General features: G+C 36.7%; 1 protein-coding gene across 20 annotated transcripts in view; it reads left to right on the top strand.

Annotated features, from left to right (window-relative positions):
* LINGO2 (leucine rich repeat and Ig domain containing 2) overlaps positions 1-20,049 on the top strand; it is a 1,275,985-nt gene extending 1,255,936 nt beyond the window's left edge. For all 20 annotated transcript variants that reach the window (NM_001354574.2, NM_001258282.3, XM_047422814.1 and 17 more), the window contains one exon: positions 6,960-20,049. In NM_001354574.2, the coding sequence (NP_001341503.1) occupies positions 6,995-8,815 (1,821 nt within the window). In that variant the 5' untranslated portion in view covers positions 6,960-6,994 and the 3' untranslated portion in view covers positions 8,816-20,049. The remainder of the gene's footprint in view (positions 1-6,959) is intronic.
* Positions 20,050-21,344: the final 1,295 nt, after the last annotated feature.

Here is a 21,344-nt window from a genome sequence, read left to right as displayed (position 1 = left end):
GAAAAGAAGACAAAAATTGGATGAACAACACCATCTGATTTCAAGAATTAAACTGATGATAAAAAGCTACAGTGGCCGGGTGCGGTGGCTCACGCCTGTAATCCCAGCACTTTGGGGAGGCCAAGGTGGGCAGATCACAAGGTCAGGAGATCGAGATCATCCTGGCCAACATGTTGAAACCCTGTCTCTACTAAAAGTACAAAAAATAGCTGGGCCTGGTGACACATGCCTGTAATCCCAGCTACTCGGGAGGCTGAGGCAGGAGAATCTCTTGAACCAGGGAGTCGGAGGTTGCAGTGAGCCAAGATTGCGCCACCTCACTCCAGCCGGGCGACAAAGCAAGACTCTGTCCCAACAAACAAACAAAAAATAAAAGCTACAGTAACCAAGACAGCCGTACTGGTATAATATAGTACAGCTGTACATACTGTATCTATTCTGGTGGAGCAGAATAGAAAAGAGAAATGGAGATGTGCATATACGGTCAACTGATTTTTGATAAAGGTCCCCAGGTAATGTTATAGGGAAAAGAAAGTATTTATTTTTATTTTTGTTTACTTATTTATATTTTTGTAGAGACAGGGTCTCACTGTCACCCAGACTGGAGTGCAGTGTCAATCACAGCTTACTGCAGCTTCGAACTCCTCAGCTCAAGCAATTCTCCCACCTCAGCTTCCTGAGTAGCTAGGAATACAGATGCATGCCACCATGCCTGGCTATTTTATTTTTTATTTTTGTAGATATGAGATCTTGCTCTGTTGCCCAGGCTGATCTCAAACTCATGGCTTCAAGCAATCCTCCCACCTCAACCTTCAAAAATGCTGGGATTACACGTGTGAGCCACCATATCTGGCCAGAAAGGAAAGTCTTTTTAAGAAATAACACTACAAAAAAACTAGATAGCTGTAGGAGGAAAATAAATCATCTTCCCTACTTCATACCACACACAAAAATCAATTCAAAATGGGTCACGGACTTGAATGTAAATAATAAAACTATAAAAATTTCCAGAAGAATACATAGGAGAAAATCTTCAAGACATTGGCATATAGGCTCTAGGGGCTCTTAAATAGAAACCAAAAGGACAAATCATTAAAAAAATGTTAAAATGGATTTAAATTTTAAAACTTCTGCTCTTTAAGAAATATGAAGAAAACAAAAAGGTAAACCATAGATGAGCATAAAATATTCACAATACATATATCTAATAAAGAACTTGTATTTAGAATATATACATAACATTTATATCTCAATAATTTAAAAATGCAATTAAAAGTGAGAAAAATGTTGAACATAAAATATACCAAAGAATCTACCTAAATGGGCAATAAGCAGACAAACAGATGCTCAGCATCACTAGTTATGAGGAAAATGCAAAGAGATAATATAGTCCCACAAGAATGGATAACATATAAAAGACAGTCGGCCAGGCGCAGTGACTCACGCCTGTAATCCCAACATTTTGGGAGCCGAGGCGGGCAGATCACCTGAGGTCTCCGGAGTTCGAGACCAGCCTGACCAACACGGAGAAAACCCCGTCTCTGCTAAAAATACAAAATTAGCCAGGCATGGTGGCGCACGCCTTGTGATCCCAGCTACTCAGGAGGCTGAGGCAGGAGAATCGCTTGAACGCAGGAGGCGGAGGTTGCAGTGAGCCAAGATCATGCCATTGCACTCCAGCCTGGGCAACAAGAGCGAAACTCCGTCTCAAAAAAAAAAAAAAAAAAAAAGTCAGTATCCATGTCGAAGGGGATATGGAACACATGAAACTCCCTTGCATTGCTAGTGGAAATGCTGAATGGCATAATCTCTTTGGGAAATGATGTGCCTGTTTCTTATAAATACTATACATATTCCTACCCTATATATAGGTATATATTTCTAGGTATATATTTAAGAAAAAACATAAGTATGCACAAAGATGTTTATATTAATATTCATAGCAGCTCTTGGACACAGCCCAAGCTTCCAAAAATAGTTGAATAGCAAGTTGTGACAAAACAATACTACCAGACATAAAAAAAGAACAAACTACTGTTACATGCAACAACATGAATCTCAAAAACATGCTGAGTGAAAGATGCTGGACATAAGAGTATATATTATATGATTTCATTGATATAAAATTATATAAAATGAATACTAATCTATAGTGACAATGCAGATCAGTGCTTACTTTAAGCCGGTAACAGAGGTTGGGATAGACGGAAAAGAGGTAAAGAGGATGATGGTAATGTTCTGTATCAGATTGTGATGGTGCTTACAAAGGTGTAAACATCTTTCTAAATTCATTGAGCTGTATGCTTAAAATCAAACGATTGACACGTTTTAAGTTTTCTTCTTAATTTAGGTGGCAAATAATGATCACAATCTTTACTACCTAAAAGTCCACCTTCTATGAGGTGGAGAAATTGATGAGGGAGGAATAATGTCAAGGTAACTAAATAAATTATAATTTTCTATGAATTATTCTGTGCATTAGACATCTAAATAAATGACTTAGTTGAGCCTTTTTTTAAAAGCCATGCAATTCTATCTTTCATTATAAAACATATCCATGACTTTTTGAATGTCAAAATAATGTCAAGGACATCAGTAGACATTTCTCAAAAGACATACAAGTAGTCAACAGGAATATGAAAACAAAATGCATGCTCAACGTCAGTAATCATCAGGGAAATGCAAATCAAAACCACATTGAGAGATCATCTTACCCCAGTTAGAATGGCTATTATTAAAATGACAAAAAATAATTTATGCTGGTAAGGATGTGCAGAAAAAGGAACTCTTAAACATTGTTGGTGTAAATGTGAACTACTACAGCCACTATGGTAAACAGTATGAAAATTTCTCAGAAAAACTAAAAATAGAACTCTCGTATGATCCAGCAATCCCACTGCTGGGACTGTAAGTCCATTAAACCTCTTTTTCTTCCCAGTCTTGGGTATGTCTTTATCATCAGCATGAAAATGGAGTAATACACAGTATATCAAAGGTATATCTGTATGCCCATGTTTATTGCAGCACTATTCACAGTAGCAAAGATACAGAATCAATCTAAGTGTCCATCAACAAATGAATGGATAAAGAAAATGTGGTACATGTATACAATGAAATACTATTCTACCAAAAAGAAAGTATAAAGTGTTGTTTGCAGCAACATGGATAGAACTGAAGGCCATTATAGTAAGTGAATTAAGCCGAGCACAGAAAGACAGTATCACATGTTCTCACTCAAATGTAGGAGCTAAAAACATTGAGAGCATGGAGGTTGAAAGTAGAATGATAGATACCAGACACTGGGAACTGTGGCCAAGATCAAGGGAGGAGATGAAGAGAGGTTTGTTAATGGATACCAACGTACAGTTAGACAGAAGGAATCAGTTCTAATGTTCCACAGTAGAGTGACTGTAGTTAATAATATATTGTGTATTTCAAAACGGCTGGAAGACTTGAAATGTTCCCAACACATAGAAGTGATATATACTCAAGGTGATGGATACTCTATATACTCTAACTTGATCATTACATTCTATGCATGTAACAAAATATCACATTGTTACATAAATACGTACAAATATTATGTATCAATGAAAAATATTTCAGAAATTATTTTTCTAATTATAAAAGTAATACAGGTATGTTTTTGAAAAAATTCAGAATTCATAATGTTATAAAAAGAAAGTGAAAATCACCATTAATCCCACCACCTCAAAAAGTTAGTATTGTCAACATCTTTATTATATCCTTCCAGTTTTCTCCTTTCATACATGTATGTATATTCATATTTATAAAATATGTTCATACAAATGTGAGTACAGCATATATCATTTCATTTTCCATGTTAAGCTACAGTTGTATTAGTTTGTTCTCATGCTGCTGTGAAGAAATACCCAAGACTGGGTGATTTATAAAGAAAAGAGGTTTAATTGACTCACACATCAGCATGGCTGGGGAGGCCTCAGGAAACTTATGACTGAAGGGGGAAGCAAACACATCCTTCCTCATATGGCAGCAGGAAGGAAAAGAATGAACAAAGAGGGAAAAGCCCCTTATAAAACCACCAGATCTTGTGAGAACTCTCATTATCACAAGAACAGCAGCATGGGGATAACCACCCCCACTATTCAGTTACCTCCCACAACATGTGGGGATTATGGGAATTATAATTCCAGATGAGATTTGGGTGGGGACACAGCCAAACCATATTAGCCGTCAAGGGTTACAGTGTATTGGCTAGATGGTATTTTACTGTATGGCTGCTTTATAACTTATATAACTAAATTCCTACTGTTACATATTTCCATTTTGCTCTATTATAGACAAATCTGTAACAAACATGTATAGTAGTTCGCTTATTTTCTAATGATACATTTCTAGAAATAGGAAAAAAAGTCAAAAGAATTAACATATTGAACTTAGATATATTTAAATCTACTATATCAATTAATGTCCAGTTTTTATTCCTTATCAGTATGTGGATGTTCATTTTCTTCTACCCTTGTTAATTCTGGCTAAAAATGATTATCAAACTTTATCAATATGACAGGCAAAAACTACATACCCCCTATTTTTAAATTTGCATTTCTTTTGCTTACTAATAGCTAATCACCCTTTCATATACTTATTGGCTATTTTTAATTTTATTATACTCATTTCCTAATTTTCTATTGGCATTCACCTTTTCATCTATTACATATGTTTTAAATATATTCTCCAGTTTAGCAATCACATGTGTGTGTTATTTGTTTGTTATACCAAGTTTTTAAAATGTGTACAACAGAGTCAATCATTCTCTTCCTTCCTGGGTTTCTAACTTTATTCACAGAAAATGCTACTTAACTCTAATATTATAAAATTATTGAATTTTCTTCTAGTACATGTTTTCTTCTTACATTTGAATCCTTAATTCATCTGGAATTTATTGGAAGAAGTAAAGTTAGTATGCAAATTTTCCCACAAAATATCAAGCCAATCATTTGTATTTTTCTCACTGATTTAAAATGCCGCCTTTAACATAAACTGGCTTTTCAAATATATTTAGATATAATTCCTTACTTTCTGTTTTCTTGACTTTATTTTTGTGTAAATAGCATGCTGATTTATTATTATAGTTTTGTATCTTATGTGTGAATGCATTGTATGGCAGGTGTTTTCATAATTTTTTTACTGTTTCTGATTATTTTCATATATGTTTTCTTCCAAATGAACTTTAGAATTAATTTTTCAAGCTTAAAACATTATTCTTTGTAATGTGTGTTCTATGGAAAAAGAAATCAATATTTTTATAATATTTAATCTCTCTACATAGTACATCTCTCTTTTAGTTATTTTGATTCTTGATAGGGTTTAATAGTTGTCATATTAGTTCTATGTATTTCTTGTTAAGTTTATACTAAGGATTTGATGTTTTTGAGATGCCATGACTGAGATAATTTTTACAATAGTATTTTCTAAATGGTTTGTGTAGACAAGAAAATTTTTTTTAAATTACATTTATTTTGTAGTATTCTAAGTCACTTATTCTACTGTTCTAATCATTTTAGTTGATTTCCATTGGTTTCCATGATAGACATTAATTTGATCTGTGAATAATGATAGTTTTGCCACATATTTTCCAAAAATTATACCTCTTCCTATCTAATTGATTTGCTAGCACTTTCTGGGTTTTTGCCTAGTTTCTACATTTGGAGGAAAATTTTCTAGTGATTTAGTGATTCACCATTAAGTTTGATCCTACTTGTTATTTTTTATTCATAAATTTGTTTACATATAGACATACTGTGGTTGTAGACATAGATATATATGTAAATACTGTAATCGGATAATTATTTTTTTACTAATTTTTCCTTTGCAGCTCAGGAATGAATGTTGAAGTTTATGAAATACTTCTTTATCTAAAAGTATTGTTTCAAACTACTGAACCTTAATTAAAATATGGTGTTCGTGGATAAAGTGTACCCCTGAGAACCCCAAGTTGAAAAGCAGAGCTCAGTAATACACCTTTTATTTATTCAGTTGGATTCAGTATCTGCTAAACTATCCACATTTAAAACATACTCATTTCCCTTCTCATTTGCTACCTATTTAATTTCACTTTAACGGGTCCACTGAGTTTGTCTGAATGTGAAAGAGGGATAGTTCATTTATCATTAAATGATACTTTTTCTGAAAATTATTTATCTTCCCATTCCTCAATATTTATCTCAAAATCATTTAAAAGAGCATTTTTATTATAGCCATCTTGTACCTTGATTCTGCCTCATTCCTATGAGAAACAAAAACAATACAGGGATACTTTGAGGATCTTTTGTCTGCCTCAAATAAGAAAATCCCTTCATAAATTAAAGTTTGCTAAGTGATGAAAGATGCGTACATTAAAATTCAAAGGTTAAAAGTAGAAAATGTATACATGAAGAAAAACATTCCAACACCTTGCACTGAATATAAGTTTGTTTTGTATGTTGCACCTAAAGGCCTGATATAGAATGAAACTTCTGTTAGCTTTGTTTTGAATAGAGGATGATATCCTAAACATTAGTGATGCCGACACTGATTCAAACTCAACTGCTTTCTTCTTAGCTGTTGACCTGTTTCTTTCATTTAAATTAAAACTGAGCCTTTGAGTGTGAAATTTATACTGTGTTGTCTCACAGTCTGTGTCACACATTATCTTTATACTTGTCAAACATTGAAATTGTCATGACAACTCTGGGAAGCTATTACTATTATCACTATTATCCCCATTTCACAGCCAGGAAAACTAAAATGCAGAGAGATTAAATAACTTGACCAAGAACCTGTTACTAAGAGGGTCGTCCATCAGGTTTATGCCCAAATCTGATTGATTCCAAATCCAGTATCCTTTCCATTACACTTGCTGCCCTATTTATGCCCCTTCACCTATTTATATCCTAACTCACCTTCTCTTCCTCCCTTCTTGTGTCCCTTCCATGCAGACCCGTGACCAAGGTGTAGACTAAGAAGTGGAGTCATGCTTCACACGGCCATATCATGCTGGCAGCCATTCCTGGGTCTGGCTGTGGTGTTAATCTTCATGGGATCCACCATTGGCTGCCCCGCTCGCTGTGAGTGCTCTGCCCAGAACAAATCTGTTAGCTGTCACAGAAGGCGATTGATCGCCATCCCAGAGGGCATTCCCATCGAAACCAAAATCTTGGACCTCAGTAAAAACAGGCTAAAAAGCGTCAACCCTGAAGAATTCATATCATATCCTCTGCTGGAAGAGATAGACTTGAGTGACAACATCATTGCCAATGTGGAACCAGGAGCATTCAACAATCTCTTTAACCTGCGTTCCCTCCGCCTAAAAGGCAATCGTCTAAAGCTGGTCCCTTTGGGAGTATTCACGGGGCTGTCCAATCTCACTAAGCTTGACATTAGTGAGAATAAGATTGTCATTTTACTAGACTACATGTTCCAAGATCTACATAACCTGAAGTCTCTAGAAGTGGGGGACAATGATTTGGTTTATATATCACACAGGGCATTCAGTGGGCTTCTTAGCTTGGAGCAGCTCACCCTGGAGAAATGCAACTTAACAGCAGTACCAACAGAAGCCCTCTCCCACCTCCGCAGCCTCATCAGCCTGCATCTGAAGCATCTCAATATCAACAATATGCCTGTGTATGCCTTTAAAAGATTGTTCCACCTGAAACACCTAGAGATTGACTATTGGCCTTTACTGGATATGATGCCTGCCAATAGCCTCTACGGTCTCAACCTCACATCCCTTTCAGTCACCAACACCAATCTGTCTACTGTACCCTTCCTTGCCTTTAAACACCTGGTATACCTGACTCACCTTAACCTCTCCTACAATCCCATCAGCACTATTGAAGCAGGCATGTTCTCTGACCTGATCCGCCTTCAGGAGCTTCATATAGTGGGGGCCCAGCTTCGCACCATTGAGCCTCACTCCTTCCAAGGGCTCCGCTTCCTACGCGTGCTCAATGTGTCTCAGAACCTGCTGGAAACTTTGGAAGAGAATGTCTTCTCCTCCCCTAGGGCTCTGGAGGTCTTGAGCATTAACAACAACCCTCTGGCCTGTGACTGCCGCCTTCTCTGGATCTTGCAGCGACAGCCCACCCTGCAGTTTGGTGGCCAGCAACCTATGTGTGCTGGCCCAGACACCATCCGTGAGAGGTCTTTCAAGGATTTCCATAGCACTGCCCTTTCTTTTTACTTTACCTGCAAAAAACCCAAAATCCGTGAAAAGAAGTTGCAGCATCTGCTAGTAGATGAAGGGCAGACAGTCCAGCTAGAATGCAGTGCAGATGGAGACCCGCAGCCTGTGATTTCCTGGGTGACACCCCGAAGGCGTTTCATCACCACCAAGTCCAATGGAAGAGCCACCGTGTTGGGTGATGGCACCTTGGAAATCCGCTTTGCCCAGGATCAAGACAGCGGGATGTATGTTTGCATCGCTAGCAATGCTGCTGGGAATGATACCTTCACAGCCTCCTTAACTGTGAAAGGATTCGCTTCAGATCGTTTTCTTTATGCGAACAGGACCCCTATGTACATGACCGACTCCAATGACACCATTTCCAATGGCACCAATGCCAATACTTTTTCCCTGGACCTTAAAACAATACTGGTGTCTACAGCTATGGGCTGCTTCACATTCCTGGGAGTGGTTTTATTTTGTTTTCTTCTCCTTTTTGTGTGGAGCCGAGGGAAAGGCAAGCACAAAAACAGCATTGACCTTGAGTATGTGCCCAGAAAAAACAATGGTGCTGTTGTGGAAGGGGAGGTAGCTGGACCCAGGAGGTTCAACATGAAAATGATTTGAAGGCCCACCCCTCACATTACTGTCTCTTTGTCAATGTGGGTAATCAGTAAGACAGTATGGCACAGTAAATTACTAGATTAAGAGGCAGCCATGTGCAGCTGCCCCTGTATCAAAAGCAGGGTCTATGGAAGCAGGAGGACTTCCAATGGAGACTCTCCATCGAAAGGCAGGCAGGCAGGCATGTGTCAGAGCCCTTCACACAGTGGGATACTAAGTGTTTGCGTTGCAAATATTGGCGTTCTGGGGATCTCAGTAATGAACCTGAATATTTGGCTCACACTCACGGACAATTATTCAGCATTTTCTACCACTGCAAAAAACAAAAGAAAAAATAAAAAAGAACAACCTACAGTGTAGGATTTACATATTAAAAAGACACATTTGTCTAAAACATACTCTACAGAAAAATTTGTATCTATGATTATCATTTGTTAAAGCCTTGCATCATACCATATTGTTGGTTCAGTACCACAAAGAGATCAATATATTCTTTTCTTCCTTTTTTGAAACATATATGCTGTACATGTTTTAAAGCAATATGAATGAGAGGTTGTGCTTTTAGTTACTCACCACTATAGATCCAAGTGTGATTTCACCTTCCGTTACCTACAGATGACCCTGAGACTAGATCCCTGGAGTTATGGGCGGAGATATTTTGAGAGATGTGTTTGTCTGATGTAGGATGCCAAGAAACAGGACCCAAGGCAAAACTGCTCAACTCTGTTAACTTCTGTTACTATAAATAAAGGCATGTGCCTAGTTTTGATACAGAATGGAATATTTTTTATACTTGTAATAATATCACACTGGACCAGTTTACTGTAAACAAAGCCCTTGGTTTCTCCAGAAGGTGGTACACCACTAGATGTACCTGTAAAATGCAAGGTAGGTGTTAATAATGAAAATGATTCATTTAATCACTCCTTGATTTTACTTTCCACAGTCACTATTAGCGGGTTAATAGAAAATGGAAGAAGAGGTAATGGTTACAAATAACCATAGGATAATATTCACCAGTGGCTAAGATCAAGAATTCAGATGTTCAAAAGCTCTCTGAATAAGAAAGAGTTCTTCTCAGATGCCAACACAAACCAGGGTGATACATACATAACATGATGTTAATGCAAACAACGATTTGTTTAAAACATGATAGCTGCCTGCATGCTAGATTGCTGCTAGTCAAGGGAACATCTAGCTACTGCCACTCTGATGTTCTCTACTTGAATACTGTACACACAATATTACCTTGAATAGACAACTTCAGGGTTTCTTCCTGCTTCCTTACCAATTAGATTTTGGTTTTTTCTTTGAAAATTATCTTGTATAATAAAGAGGAATTTGTCTTGTTTTCTAAGAACTGAGAAAAAACAAGGTGGATTAAAAACCATTTAGTGTTTTTTTTCTCCACTGAGGAAAAAGCAAGGTTATAGCCCCATAAATATGTCAAGTTGTGCTGATTTTTTTTCCTCTCTCTGACCCAAGGATACTTATCCAATTCAGTTTGTATTAATGACTGTTACTCAAAGTTAAACATCCCAGTTTTTAAAAACTGATGTCATGCCGTGACCACCAGTCATCTGGTTCAGAGCAGGCATAGTTTCATTTGGCTAAATGTTCAGTGAATGACTTTCAAAGCATATGGTTATGTGATCTGAGAAAGAATTGAATGTGGACTGTGTTCATGCAATGTCAAATATTTAATCAGCATAGAACTGATAGGAAATATCTATACTTTTCCTATTTCAAGAGGGATCTGAAAATAGGTCATGTTTTTAATAACATGTAAGCTGGAGTAGAAAGTCTCTGGGGTTTGCTTCTTGACATATTGGATTGGCGGGTTGACATTCAAAAGGCTGGCTTTTTAGTTTGAAATTTGAAAATTTGAAATTTTGAAGAACTTTAATAAAATTAAATTGACCCCAATAAAAGTAGGATAAGCCCAGAAATTATTTTGCCAATCAGATAGCAACAGAGTTAAACCCATTTCTCCCCTAATAAAGGGTGGAAAATATGATGAAAGATTGAAGAATTGCCTGTTCAAGCCATTTTTCATTTGACTTTTCTGATGACTATCATAGATCTTTTAGAATTTTATTTTCCATTTGTGCCAAATACCTTATATCAAACAATGCAAATCAAGCTCTGCTGCAAACTCTATCACAAATCCAACTTGTGTGCAAATGGAATGGGGTCTTTCAAATTTAAAAATGAACTGTTAGAGATTTCAAAAAAACTTCCAAAAGTTAATAGAAACTATTTTGCAGCATTGTGTGAAGTGTAGTATTCAACTAATTGTCATAAAAGAGAAACATTGAGCAATTAATAAGAGGGCTTTGTGATTTTCACTGCTCTTTTGTCAAAATAAAAGTTGGCCAAAAACAGCTGAGTGAAATGAAATTGGATTAAAATGTACCCATCCATGAAAAAGATTTAGTTAAAAGATTTTGTTACTATTCATTTTATTGGAAGAAAAGAGAATGGATTTTCTCAGCGGTCCCATACTCTGATCTATGGAATAATAGTTATTTAAGATATTTCTAAGCATTCTTCCAAAAAAGTCCTGTTGACCAGTCTATCAGGGAAATGCATTCTGTAACCACCTTTAGAGATTCAAAATCTATATGAGCCTAATAAATCCTCTGAAAAGTCCTGTAAACAGGAATCCTGTTTAATATTGTTTATCTTCAGGCTTCACTAATTTATATGAGCAGAAAGCACTTCTTTTCGTGCTATAACTGTTAACATTTTCAAAAACTAGAGCTCCATAGAACCCCGGTTGGTCTACTTCAGACTAGAGTAATACTCTTGTGACGTATTCCTAAACCTAATGTTTCCAATAAGAGTAAAATTACTGTTTGAATTGGCCTCCGATAGACTACCAAAAAAATATTGACTGTGTCAGTGCTTAGATCATAAAAGTATATTGACCAGATATTTTCAGGGGAATTGGCTACTTTTTGCCTGAAGCATCCATCATAGCAATGGATTAAGAGGTAATTGAATAGACATTTAATTTTCTACACTCTCACTATCTGAGCAGATCTTGGGTTCTTTTTGTGCGTGCAAAGCTCTGGTATCCATTGAGTGAAACGCTGGTGCTTTAGTACTCAGTTTCACAAAAGGGTTAATGAATTTTCCCTCATGGCTTCTGATTACCTCTTTGTTATATCAACTAGACCATGGTAGAGCATAACAGCTCATACCAGCACAGGGGCCAACTACTCACTTAAATATGACATCTCTGAGTCATTTTCTTCCCAGAGGCTTTGTTTCAAAGTATCCCAGAAAGAAATACTGTTGTTTGACTCAGCATTTCACTCCAGTTGGTTTTCATTCCACTCTGGTTTTGCTCAACTTTCTCAGAAATTTTGCTTGTTACTGACAACTCCCTAGTAGGAAAAACACATTCAGAAGTTGCCCTACAGTATTTAGGATGGATTCTTTTTTCATTATTCTGTCAAATATTCTGTGTTCCTCAGTTCTTACAGGAGTCCAGAAGTTGCAGTCTTCTGTGACTCTTTAAAAAATGATTATTTAAATGTCATTTGCATTGAGGCCTGACTTTTGTCACTTTACTCTGGTACAAACACATGTATTTTTATATCAGAGGAACAAAAGAGAGAATGTGATCTTGGAGAAATAAAATTGAGTAAAGTCCCATGTAAATTAACTTGTATTTCCAGGGTCTCTCTTCATCTCTGTGTCAAGACATTTGTTTTAACTTCAGGGGATGTACTCAGAAGCCATTCAACACTGCATATGTCTTGAGGGTTTCTAGGAAAGAAAAAAATTACATAATTTTCAGCTTAGAAGTCTAAGACCAAACATAAAGATATATCAAGACTTTAAAGAAGGTTGGAGGCAGACACTTGACCCATGTTAATCCTGTTTTCTTTCTTGCCAATTTTTGTAGTTATCTCCTACCTGAAGAAGAATCAGAGATTATGTTCTTCCTTGACTTTCACTGAAGTCCTTTTTATACCTTTTTTCTATGACCCAGTCACCTATATCTCACATGAGCTATCCCAAATGGATTCTGTGGCATCTGAATCTAGTAACAAAACCTTTGGGACCAAAGGCATTCATTCTACTCAGCACTTAGGTAAAGACTTATTATCTCTATTACTATAATTAACATTCCCTGTTTGTTAGACTCATACATCATGTGCCTGGTTATTTCCATTGATTTTCCACCGTTGGCTTTGGGAGCACCTTTTAATTCCTTTCAGCTAGAACCCTTGATGTTTTTCTGATTGAGGAGTTTGGGAATTATTCTGCCTTTGGGTATAGAAAGTTTTGAGGAATGAAATATTATTTGTTTGATTTTTGAATTTTCTATTTTCGTTAGGCAACAGAGGGTGTTTTCTGGTACTTTGGCAAACACTTGACATGAATCTCTCAGTGATGCTCCCCTTTTCACCTTCAAAAGCCATTCCCAAAAGAGCCTTCTCATTTACATTCCAGCTGGGAAAGGACAGCTTTACAACATAGGTGTACAGGATAAAATGATAGCTGATTGCTGTGCTCTTTAGCTCAATTAACCTAATAAACACTGGGTCCAGGGGCCATATGTCTAGGCTTGCAAGGTTTAGCCAAGTAAACAAGGTTTTAAATCAACAATTAATGACAGGTTTTCGACTCTGAAGTTGGTTTGCCTGTTTGGAGAACAGTATGTGTAACTGCATGTCTTCTCAAAAAGGTAGGGACTAGAACTTCCTTATCTTATGTGAGATTTTTAACAAATGGTCTAGGATAAAATGTGTCCAACAACAACAAAATACATAATTAAGATGTTTGTAAAAGGTTTATTTTTCTAAAATAGGATTGGGGCTGATGTTACTCTTTCCAAATTTGGGAGTTTGATCAGGACAAGCTTGCATGTGCCCCAGACTGCCCTTTCTCAAGTTTACCAAGGTCTTTAATACCTCTTCTCCCTCCCTGATCCCCTTCTCCCTGGAGAACATCCTGAATAGGAAGGAGAAAAAGAGCAGGAACTAAAGTCCCCTGAGACAGCCCACAGAAGGAGAAAAGCTTTGGTATTCCCCCACATTCTTGCCTCCTTTCCTGATGCAGCAATTGAAATGATCCTTCACTCTCTGCCTACTTACCACTGTCACTTCTCAGCTGCTGCCATCCTCATCAATGAACGCTCTCTCCAGGGATAAGTCTTCTTTCATTGGTAACTGAGATTCTTGGGTAATTGTTAAACTGGAAATTGCTTTAAAAAAAAAAAACCCTCCAGCTATCTCACATAACACTTTAAAAGTTAAGACTTACCATTCACATAATCACAAGCTGACAGCAATCTGCAGGTTGAGTGATTCTGATTTTTTTTCCTCTCCCTTCCAGAAGCAGGTGGGTTGATATAATGCCAGCCTTAAATAGAAAGCTTTATTTATAGCCTTAGCAGAATGAGAAAAGAGCTGGCATAATCAAGAGAGTACTTCACATTTTAAAGAAGACTTTACCTTTAATATGCAAAATAGTCATTAGAAGACAACAAAAATGCAAATTTATGTTTTACTAAATTGCTTAACTATATTCCAATAAAGTTCAAAAGATAACTGTCCATACTGAAGATGGGTCAGCCAAAGACTTTATGCCTGTTCTAAAAGGACCAAAAAAAAGCAGAAATTTGGTTGCCATGTTAACTTTATGTTGTTGCACACCTCCTATTCTAAATTGCTTTAATATCTTTACACTGCAATATATTGAGTAAAATCAACAATATAAGATAAATAATAAACAGGAGATTAATTCAGACTTGCAAAAAAAATTTTTCATTCTTTACAATGTATGTCCAGCAGCAAAATGATGTATATACATATCTGTGTGATAACAAGAGATTGGAATTGGCATGAACAAACTTTGCATAGAGGCTGTTTGGAAGAAAACATGCTGTTTTTCTCCCCAGTTACAAAATCAGGTATATCATAAAAACCTGAGTTGCTTCATAACAAGACAGTTGTTTTCAGGTTTTTTCCATGTGGTATAGAATACCCCAAATCATAATTAATTTCTATTGTTTATATATACATATATAAATATGTGGGGAAGGGTGGTTAGATTTTTTTGTGTTTAAATTATAACCGTTTTAAAAGTTGATAAGCCTGAGCAGGAGAAAAAGAGACAGAATGTGTATCTGTGTTTTCCTTTAATGTCTTTTATCAAAATCCTATTTTGAGAATATCCCATGATTGAAAGTTAATAACCAAGAACCTAACAAAACTTTTCGTAAAAAATGCCTGAAAGTTTTTGTTTTCAAAAAATTAATGCTAATGACAAAAGTATCTTGATTTAGGTTTGCATCTCTTTAGCTATTGGTTAATTGTTGTGGGCATGTTTTTTTTAACATGTAAAAACAAATTAACTTATTAACATGTAAAATAAGTTAAGAAAACATGTTTTCTTTTCGGATGAAAGGGCTTAAGCATCTGACATCTCAGTTAAATTCACTGAAGTATTAATAAGAAATGCAATATGAGACAATCGGAGTCGTATAAAAATATTTTCTTATTGAGAGAAGTAGGTTATATGAGTCTCACAGGGAACGTGAGGTATCACTGTATTAATTAGTAATCCCCAATACTGTCAGAGATGAAGCAGGTCCAGTGGAATCTCATTCAAATGCTAAGGTGAGTGGAGATAACTCACAGAGGAATCAAAAGACAGGCTATCCAGTTACATAAAGTTACAAAGGGGTCATAGTTCAACCTGATGGGCATCCAAATTTATGTAATATCAACCACACTCTAAAGATATTCTACTTTTGTGGAGTTAAATCCTGTATCACTTGCAAAAGTATCCCAAATTCATGTGACTTAATAACATAAGCAAGTAATGGGCATAACTTAAGGCGTAAGATCTATTTGAGCAAGAACTGAAGGGTTCAGCAAGCCATACATACAACACCACCCTCTAGTTTTTCTTTCTGAGTTAGCCTTCACTCAGCCAAATGATTCAAAACATTGTGTCAAGTAGGAAGCCACAAAAAAAATAAAAAGAGAAACAACTTTAGTCTTCAAGCAAATTGAAAAAAGGGAAAGAGAAAATTGTCTAGTGTTAAAGAGGAAATGAATTGAAAATTTTTAAACTCCTCTTGGGCTGAGAGTGAAGGTGCCCTCTCTTTACCTTTCGTACTTGAGGGAATGGGCTTTAGAGAGATGTGTTCAGGCAGGTGTCATCATCTAGGGTATCATCTTTACTCCCTGTGGCTCATTAGATGGCTTCCAGTGAAGGAGGAGGAGGTAGAGAAGGAAGCAGAAAGCTGACAGTCATGGTACCTGAAAGTCACATTGTTAGAGAACAAGAAAGTCCGGGATTCATCTCCAGGAAGCAATAAACACACAAATACTGAGACTGTTAGCAAGAAACCAGAAAAGGTCCCTTTGCTATTCTTCTTTTCTTTTCTTTTCTTTTTTGAGTCTCACTCTGTCAACAGGCTGGAGTACAGTGGCACAATCTCGGCTCACTGCAACCTCCCCGTCCCGGGTTCAAGAGATTCTCCTGCCTCAGCCTCCCCAGTAGCTGGGATTACAGGCACCCACCACCACACCCGGCTAATTTTTGTATTTTTTTAGTAGAGACAGGGTTTCACCATGTTGGCCAGGATGGTCTCGATCTCCTGACCTCGTGATCCGCCCACCTCGGCTTCCCAAAGTGCAGGGATTACAGACATGAGTCACTGCACCCGGCCTGCTGCTATTTAATTGCAAAATGAAAAGCTTGCCCCTAGAGAGAGAATTTCTTGAAAATGTTCTGTTAATGCCAGAGCTGCTCTGGTCAGAGTCACATCTCTAACAGTGGGCTTTTATTTTATGCTAGTAAATCAGTAAGACTAAAACAAAGGGCCATTTCCCATAAGCATAGTTTTGAATGTGTTGGGTAGACATCTCGCCAATTAATATTAGGAGTTAGCTTGTCCAGTAAACTCACCAATCAGGGATAAGATGATCCCAATACTTCAGAACTTGTACTTAAACAATGGGAAGAAGATAATATAATGAACTCGAAGCTAAACATACTTTTAACTCAGTGGCCTGGCTTCTAGCTCTGCACCTTAAAGACTTTCTGGTCATGTATTACTTCATAAATTTAGAAGTTCTTCATAGTTCTGTGTTTCTGTTTCTGTTTGGTTTCTTCTTCCTTTCATTTTTCTCAGTCATGAGCATACTGCCCTTGCTAGATGGCTGTTAATGTTTTTGTGTTGTTTGATACAGTCGAAATAAAAATTAGGAGTTTCTACCGACTCCCTTCAAGGCAGATAAGCTTATTGTACAACCCTATATTCTTTTCTTAATTACTTCATTATCAGACCTAAAACACAGGACATGAAGATTAATGTGGAATAAAGCCAAGTTAAGGAGAAAAGTGAGAAACCTGAGGGGAAATTTACCTACTATTTCTGCCACTGACTGGTGGAAAATCTGAAAACACTGGCTTCTAGGGCTTGTCACACTGGTGCCTTTCATCAACTCTTATAAATAACTAAATGCAAAAATTATGACCCTCTATCAAAAAATAAAGGATTGGGAAGGAGATCGCTTATTACAGCTATGCAGGTATTGTTTTATTCTATAACGCTGTCATTGGCAAATCAGGACATGTCAATAAATCTCTCAAAGTAGTATATGTATATTAATGGCAGAATGACACGTATATACATATCTATTACTAAGAACCATCTGGGGAAAAAAATAAGAAAATTTAAAAAATAAAAAAAGATAAGGCAGGTGGAAAATATGTGGATTCTCCCTATTCTATTTGTCTGCTAAAAAAACTAAGACCTCACCTGAATCACCAGAGTCAGGGTCTCAGAAATGAAAACCCAAGGAGAGTCTCTACAAAAAGAACAGACTGCTAGAGAGGATACCTCTTTGATTAAAATACCTAAATCTTTTATGTGATTGTGAAAGTTATATCTATAGTGAATAATTTTGTATTGTCACATTGGGAGATAAATTTGTTTACCAGATCCCCATCTAAGGCAGAAATAACATTTATGTGAACCCTTTTCTAACTGCAGCATCACTATTCATATTATTTCCAAGCACAAGAGATCAAGTATGCTAGTACCATAGCACAGAGGCAATTCACCACATCTAGCCTATTCCTTTAGCCATGGGCTATTAGCTGGATGTACAAAAGACTAACAGGTTACATCCATTCTATACATGCAGGGATTTCATAAAAGTTAAACACTTCTTCAAACCTGCACACACAAATCCATACTGTGGCATCCAGAGTTTCTTTAAGCCTCACACTGTATCAGTACAAACATCCTACAGGGAATTAATTCACTGAGCACAGAACAAATGTGTAATGCAAAGAGATTACCAAGTCACCTCCACCACCTTGATTTATATAAGCTCTTCTGTTTTAGCAACACCTGGAGAATCCAGTGGTCTGTGCTTCAGTGGTCTCAAGAGCTCTTCATGGCAGTTCTGTAAGAAAGTTGCTGGCTTTAACGCAGGGCTGGTTTCAATATAGGGCAGCTGTTTTCTGCTGTGAGTCTTCTGGAGGAAAAAGAATGGGTTCACGGAAACTGAAAGTAACTGAAAAATGTATCCTGGCTGGTGAGTGTAGGAAGAGTAGTTCATTGTTCTAATGGTTGAATATATTTCAAAAGAACATTTAATAAGAATTGGAGAACACAAGCATTTCAAATAAATGGCAATGATCATATGAGCATGTGTAAGAGAATTTAATTGCAGAGGAAAATGGATGATTATGCATATCACACTGCCTCTAATATTGATCTTGAGTTGGTTTCCAAATTGATAAGTAAATACATTCTATATTGAAAATCATTTTAAATGTCTATTTATATCTTTTAAATATTGCCAATAATTAGCTTAAATACATGCCCTCAAAATATTCAGGAATCTACTCGGTCCTTTCCTTCTCATCCTTGATTAGAAGTTAAAAATCAGATTTCTCTAGCTTTGTTTTAAAAGATACAGAAAATTTAATTTTCCAATTATCCAAGCACAATCTCCTTTCATTCATTTACTCATTTAATTATGCAACATCTACTGAGTATCCATTATCATAGTAATCGAGCTGCCCGTCACTGAAGTCATTATCAAACTGTGGTTTAAACCTTAGCTCTGTGTTTCTCCACATTAACTCCTTTGGCTTCCATATTGATTGCAACTTGTGTCTCATTCTGTCATCTAAATCATGTGGTTTAGAGATAGGCCTTAGTGTCCACCTGGCCAGGCACAAGTCTGGCGTTAAGGACCTACCTGCTTTAATGATCCACTCTCAGGGAGTCAGAACAGTTAAGTACTAAAAAGACAAGGATCTGGAGTGAGAGTCCCTAGGGCTATGTCACTGGATTCATGTTTCTTTATGGGCAAGCTACTTAACATCTCTGCATCCCCATCTCTCAAAATAACCATAACACTACCTACCTCACAAGGGTGCTGTGAGGCTTACCATGAAAAGCATGAGGAAATGGTATATAGAATTGGGGACCTAGTAGAAAGGTGCTACAGGATTAGAGTAACTAGATATCATTGAGTATGAACCCTGCTTTCCCTGGGAGCCCCAGGTTTGCCAGAATATGTCTAATCTCTTTACGGCTAGAATCTAAAATGGTGTTGGCCATCGATTGGCTTAGGTTATCTTTAATGTCATTGACTTTTACAAAATTCGTAACGACACCTCTTTCTCAGAGAGATGCTGGATTGGAAAAATTATTAAATTAATTTTAACAAAGGAGAACAAAAATGATTCACTTCCAGGTGCTGGGTGTGGCGGAACAGTTATTTATTTCAATATGAAACAAGAGTTTGAATGGATATCTTCAAGGGGATGCATTTTATTGGAGACATTTATTGCCTGGGGCTTTCTGTTTTCAGTCTGACTCCCCAGCTTTCTGTATCATTGTTTTAACATACATCCCCTTTTCTCCTTTATTGGAAGAGAAGCTATAATTCTCCTCATTTCATGATAATCCTTTTCAGTCTGTTTTGCTCAAAGGACAAATTCTTTTCAACAACTATTGTAATTATTTTCTTAGAGGGCCATTTTTAATTGCCGTATTGTTTAGCTAAGCCCTATTGTCTTGGTGTCCTTCAAAACTGTCAGTTGCATTAAAATATAGGGGTGGGAGGGGAGCTGATAAGCACATTGTTGTAATTGATTTGTATGTTTGAATTGTCTTATCAGAAAACAAGGTTATGAATTTCATCTGTTGAGACACAAAAATAAAATACTTTCTTAAAAAATTGCATTTTGTTCTTGAATGTTCTAAAACAGCATTTATGCTTCTCTTCATCTTTTTAATATTTCATTAATAGTGTTGCCTTATTAATCATATAATAGAAGCCTATCCTTCTCCTACATCTATTATTATAGCTCAGTCCTTTACGACATAAACTTGGGAAACAGTAAAGTAAAGTTATTCAACATGTAGAATTGAAGCAAATCATGAAGAGCCCATTCTGAGGTGTCTGCATTTAAGGCTGACCATGGAATGACACTCAGACAGATAGATGGCTGTGAAAAATAGGACTTTCAAGGCCTACTTTTCCAATGGAAAATATCACCATAAGTGACGGGAAATGGCCAGAAGATATTACTTCTGTCAGTCAAGAAACTAAGAAATGAGATGAAAGTAACTGAGCTTCATTTTTTTAAGTGCTCTGGTTCAAGATTTTGCCATATTAATTTAGAGAAACTTAAAACAAAATATTGTTGGTGTCTTAGTTCTGGCTGCCATAGTAAAATACCACAGGCTCGGTGGCTTAAACAACAGAAGTTTGTTTTTCCGCCTTCTGGAGGCTGGAAAGTCTAAGGTCAAGGTGCCAGCGGAGTATCTAGTATCTAGTAAGGGCTCTCTGCTTGGGCTGTAGGTGGACACCTTCTCTCTTTGTCCTCACAGGGTCTTTCTTCAGTGCATGCAGAGAGAGAGAGATTCCTTTTTTATAAGGCCACCAATTCTATTAATTTAGCACCCTACCTTTATGACCTCATTTAATCATAATTACCTCCTAAAAACCCTATTTCAAAACATGATCACATTGAAGGTTAGTGCTTCAATGTATGGATCGGAGCGGGGGCACAATTCAGTGCATAGCCATTGGTTTCTGCACATTGATCAAAATGCTACATCATCTTTCTTTACCATGAGTAGGAAGGATGTTATATATTAGGAAGGCAAGTTAAGAAAGTCAATATAAACAAGCAAATATGGAACAGAAAAGGGTTTCAACAACTAGTAAATATTCCTCTTTATTGTACTTATTTTATTATTCCTTGACACTTCAAGACTCTGACCAAGTTGTCGCTAATTTTCTGCAATGGCATATAACTTTTCATCCTATAACACTAAAGTCCTGATTTCTCATAACACATCCCCAGAGCTATGTTCCCACTTCTTAAAAGTCTTCACCACTTACGTTTCTTTTTCTTTTACTCAGTATCATTAGTCAACTAACGTCTTTCTGGAATACCTATCACTCATCTGATGCTCCTCCCAAACACATCAAGTTCTCCTTTGATTATGTTCCAACACATGCTA

Source organism: Homo sapiens, chromosome 9 (assembly GCF_000001405.40).
Source record: "Homo sapiens chromosome 9, GRCh38.p14 Primary Assembly".
Taxonomy (NCBI): Eukaryota; Metazoa; Chordata; class Mammalia; order Primates; family Hominidae; genus Homo; species Homo sapiens.
This window is presented reverse-complemented; position numbering and strand designations above follow the sequence as displayed.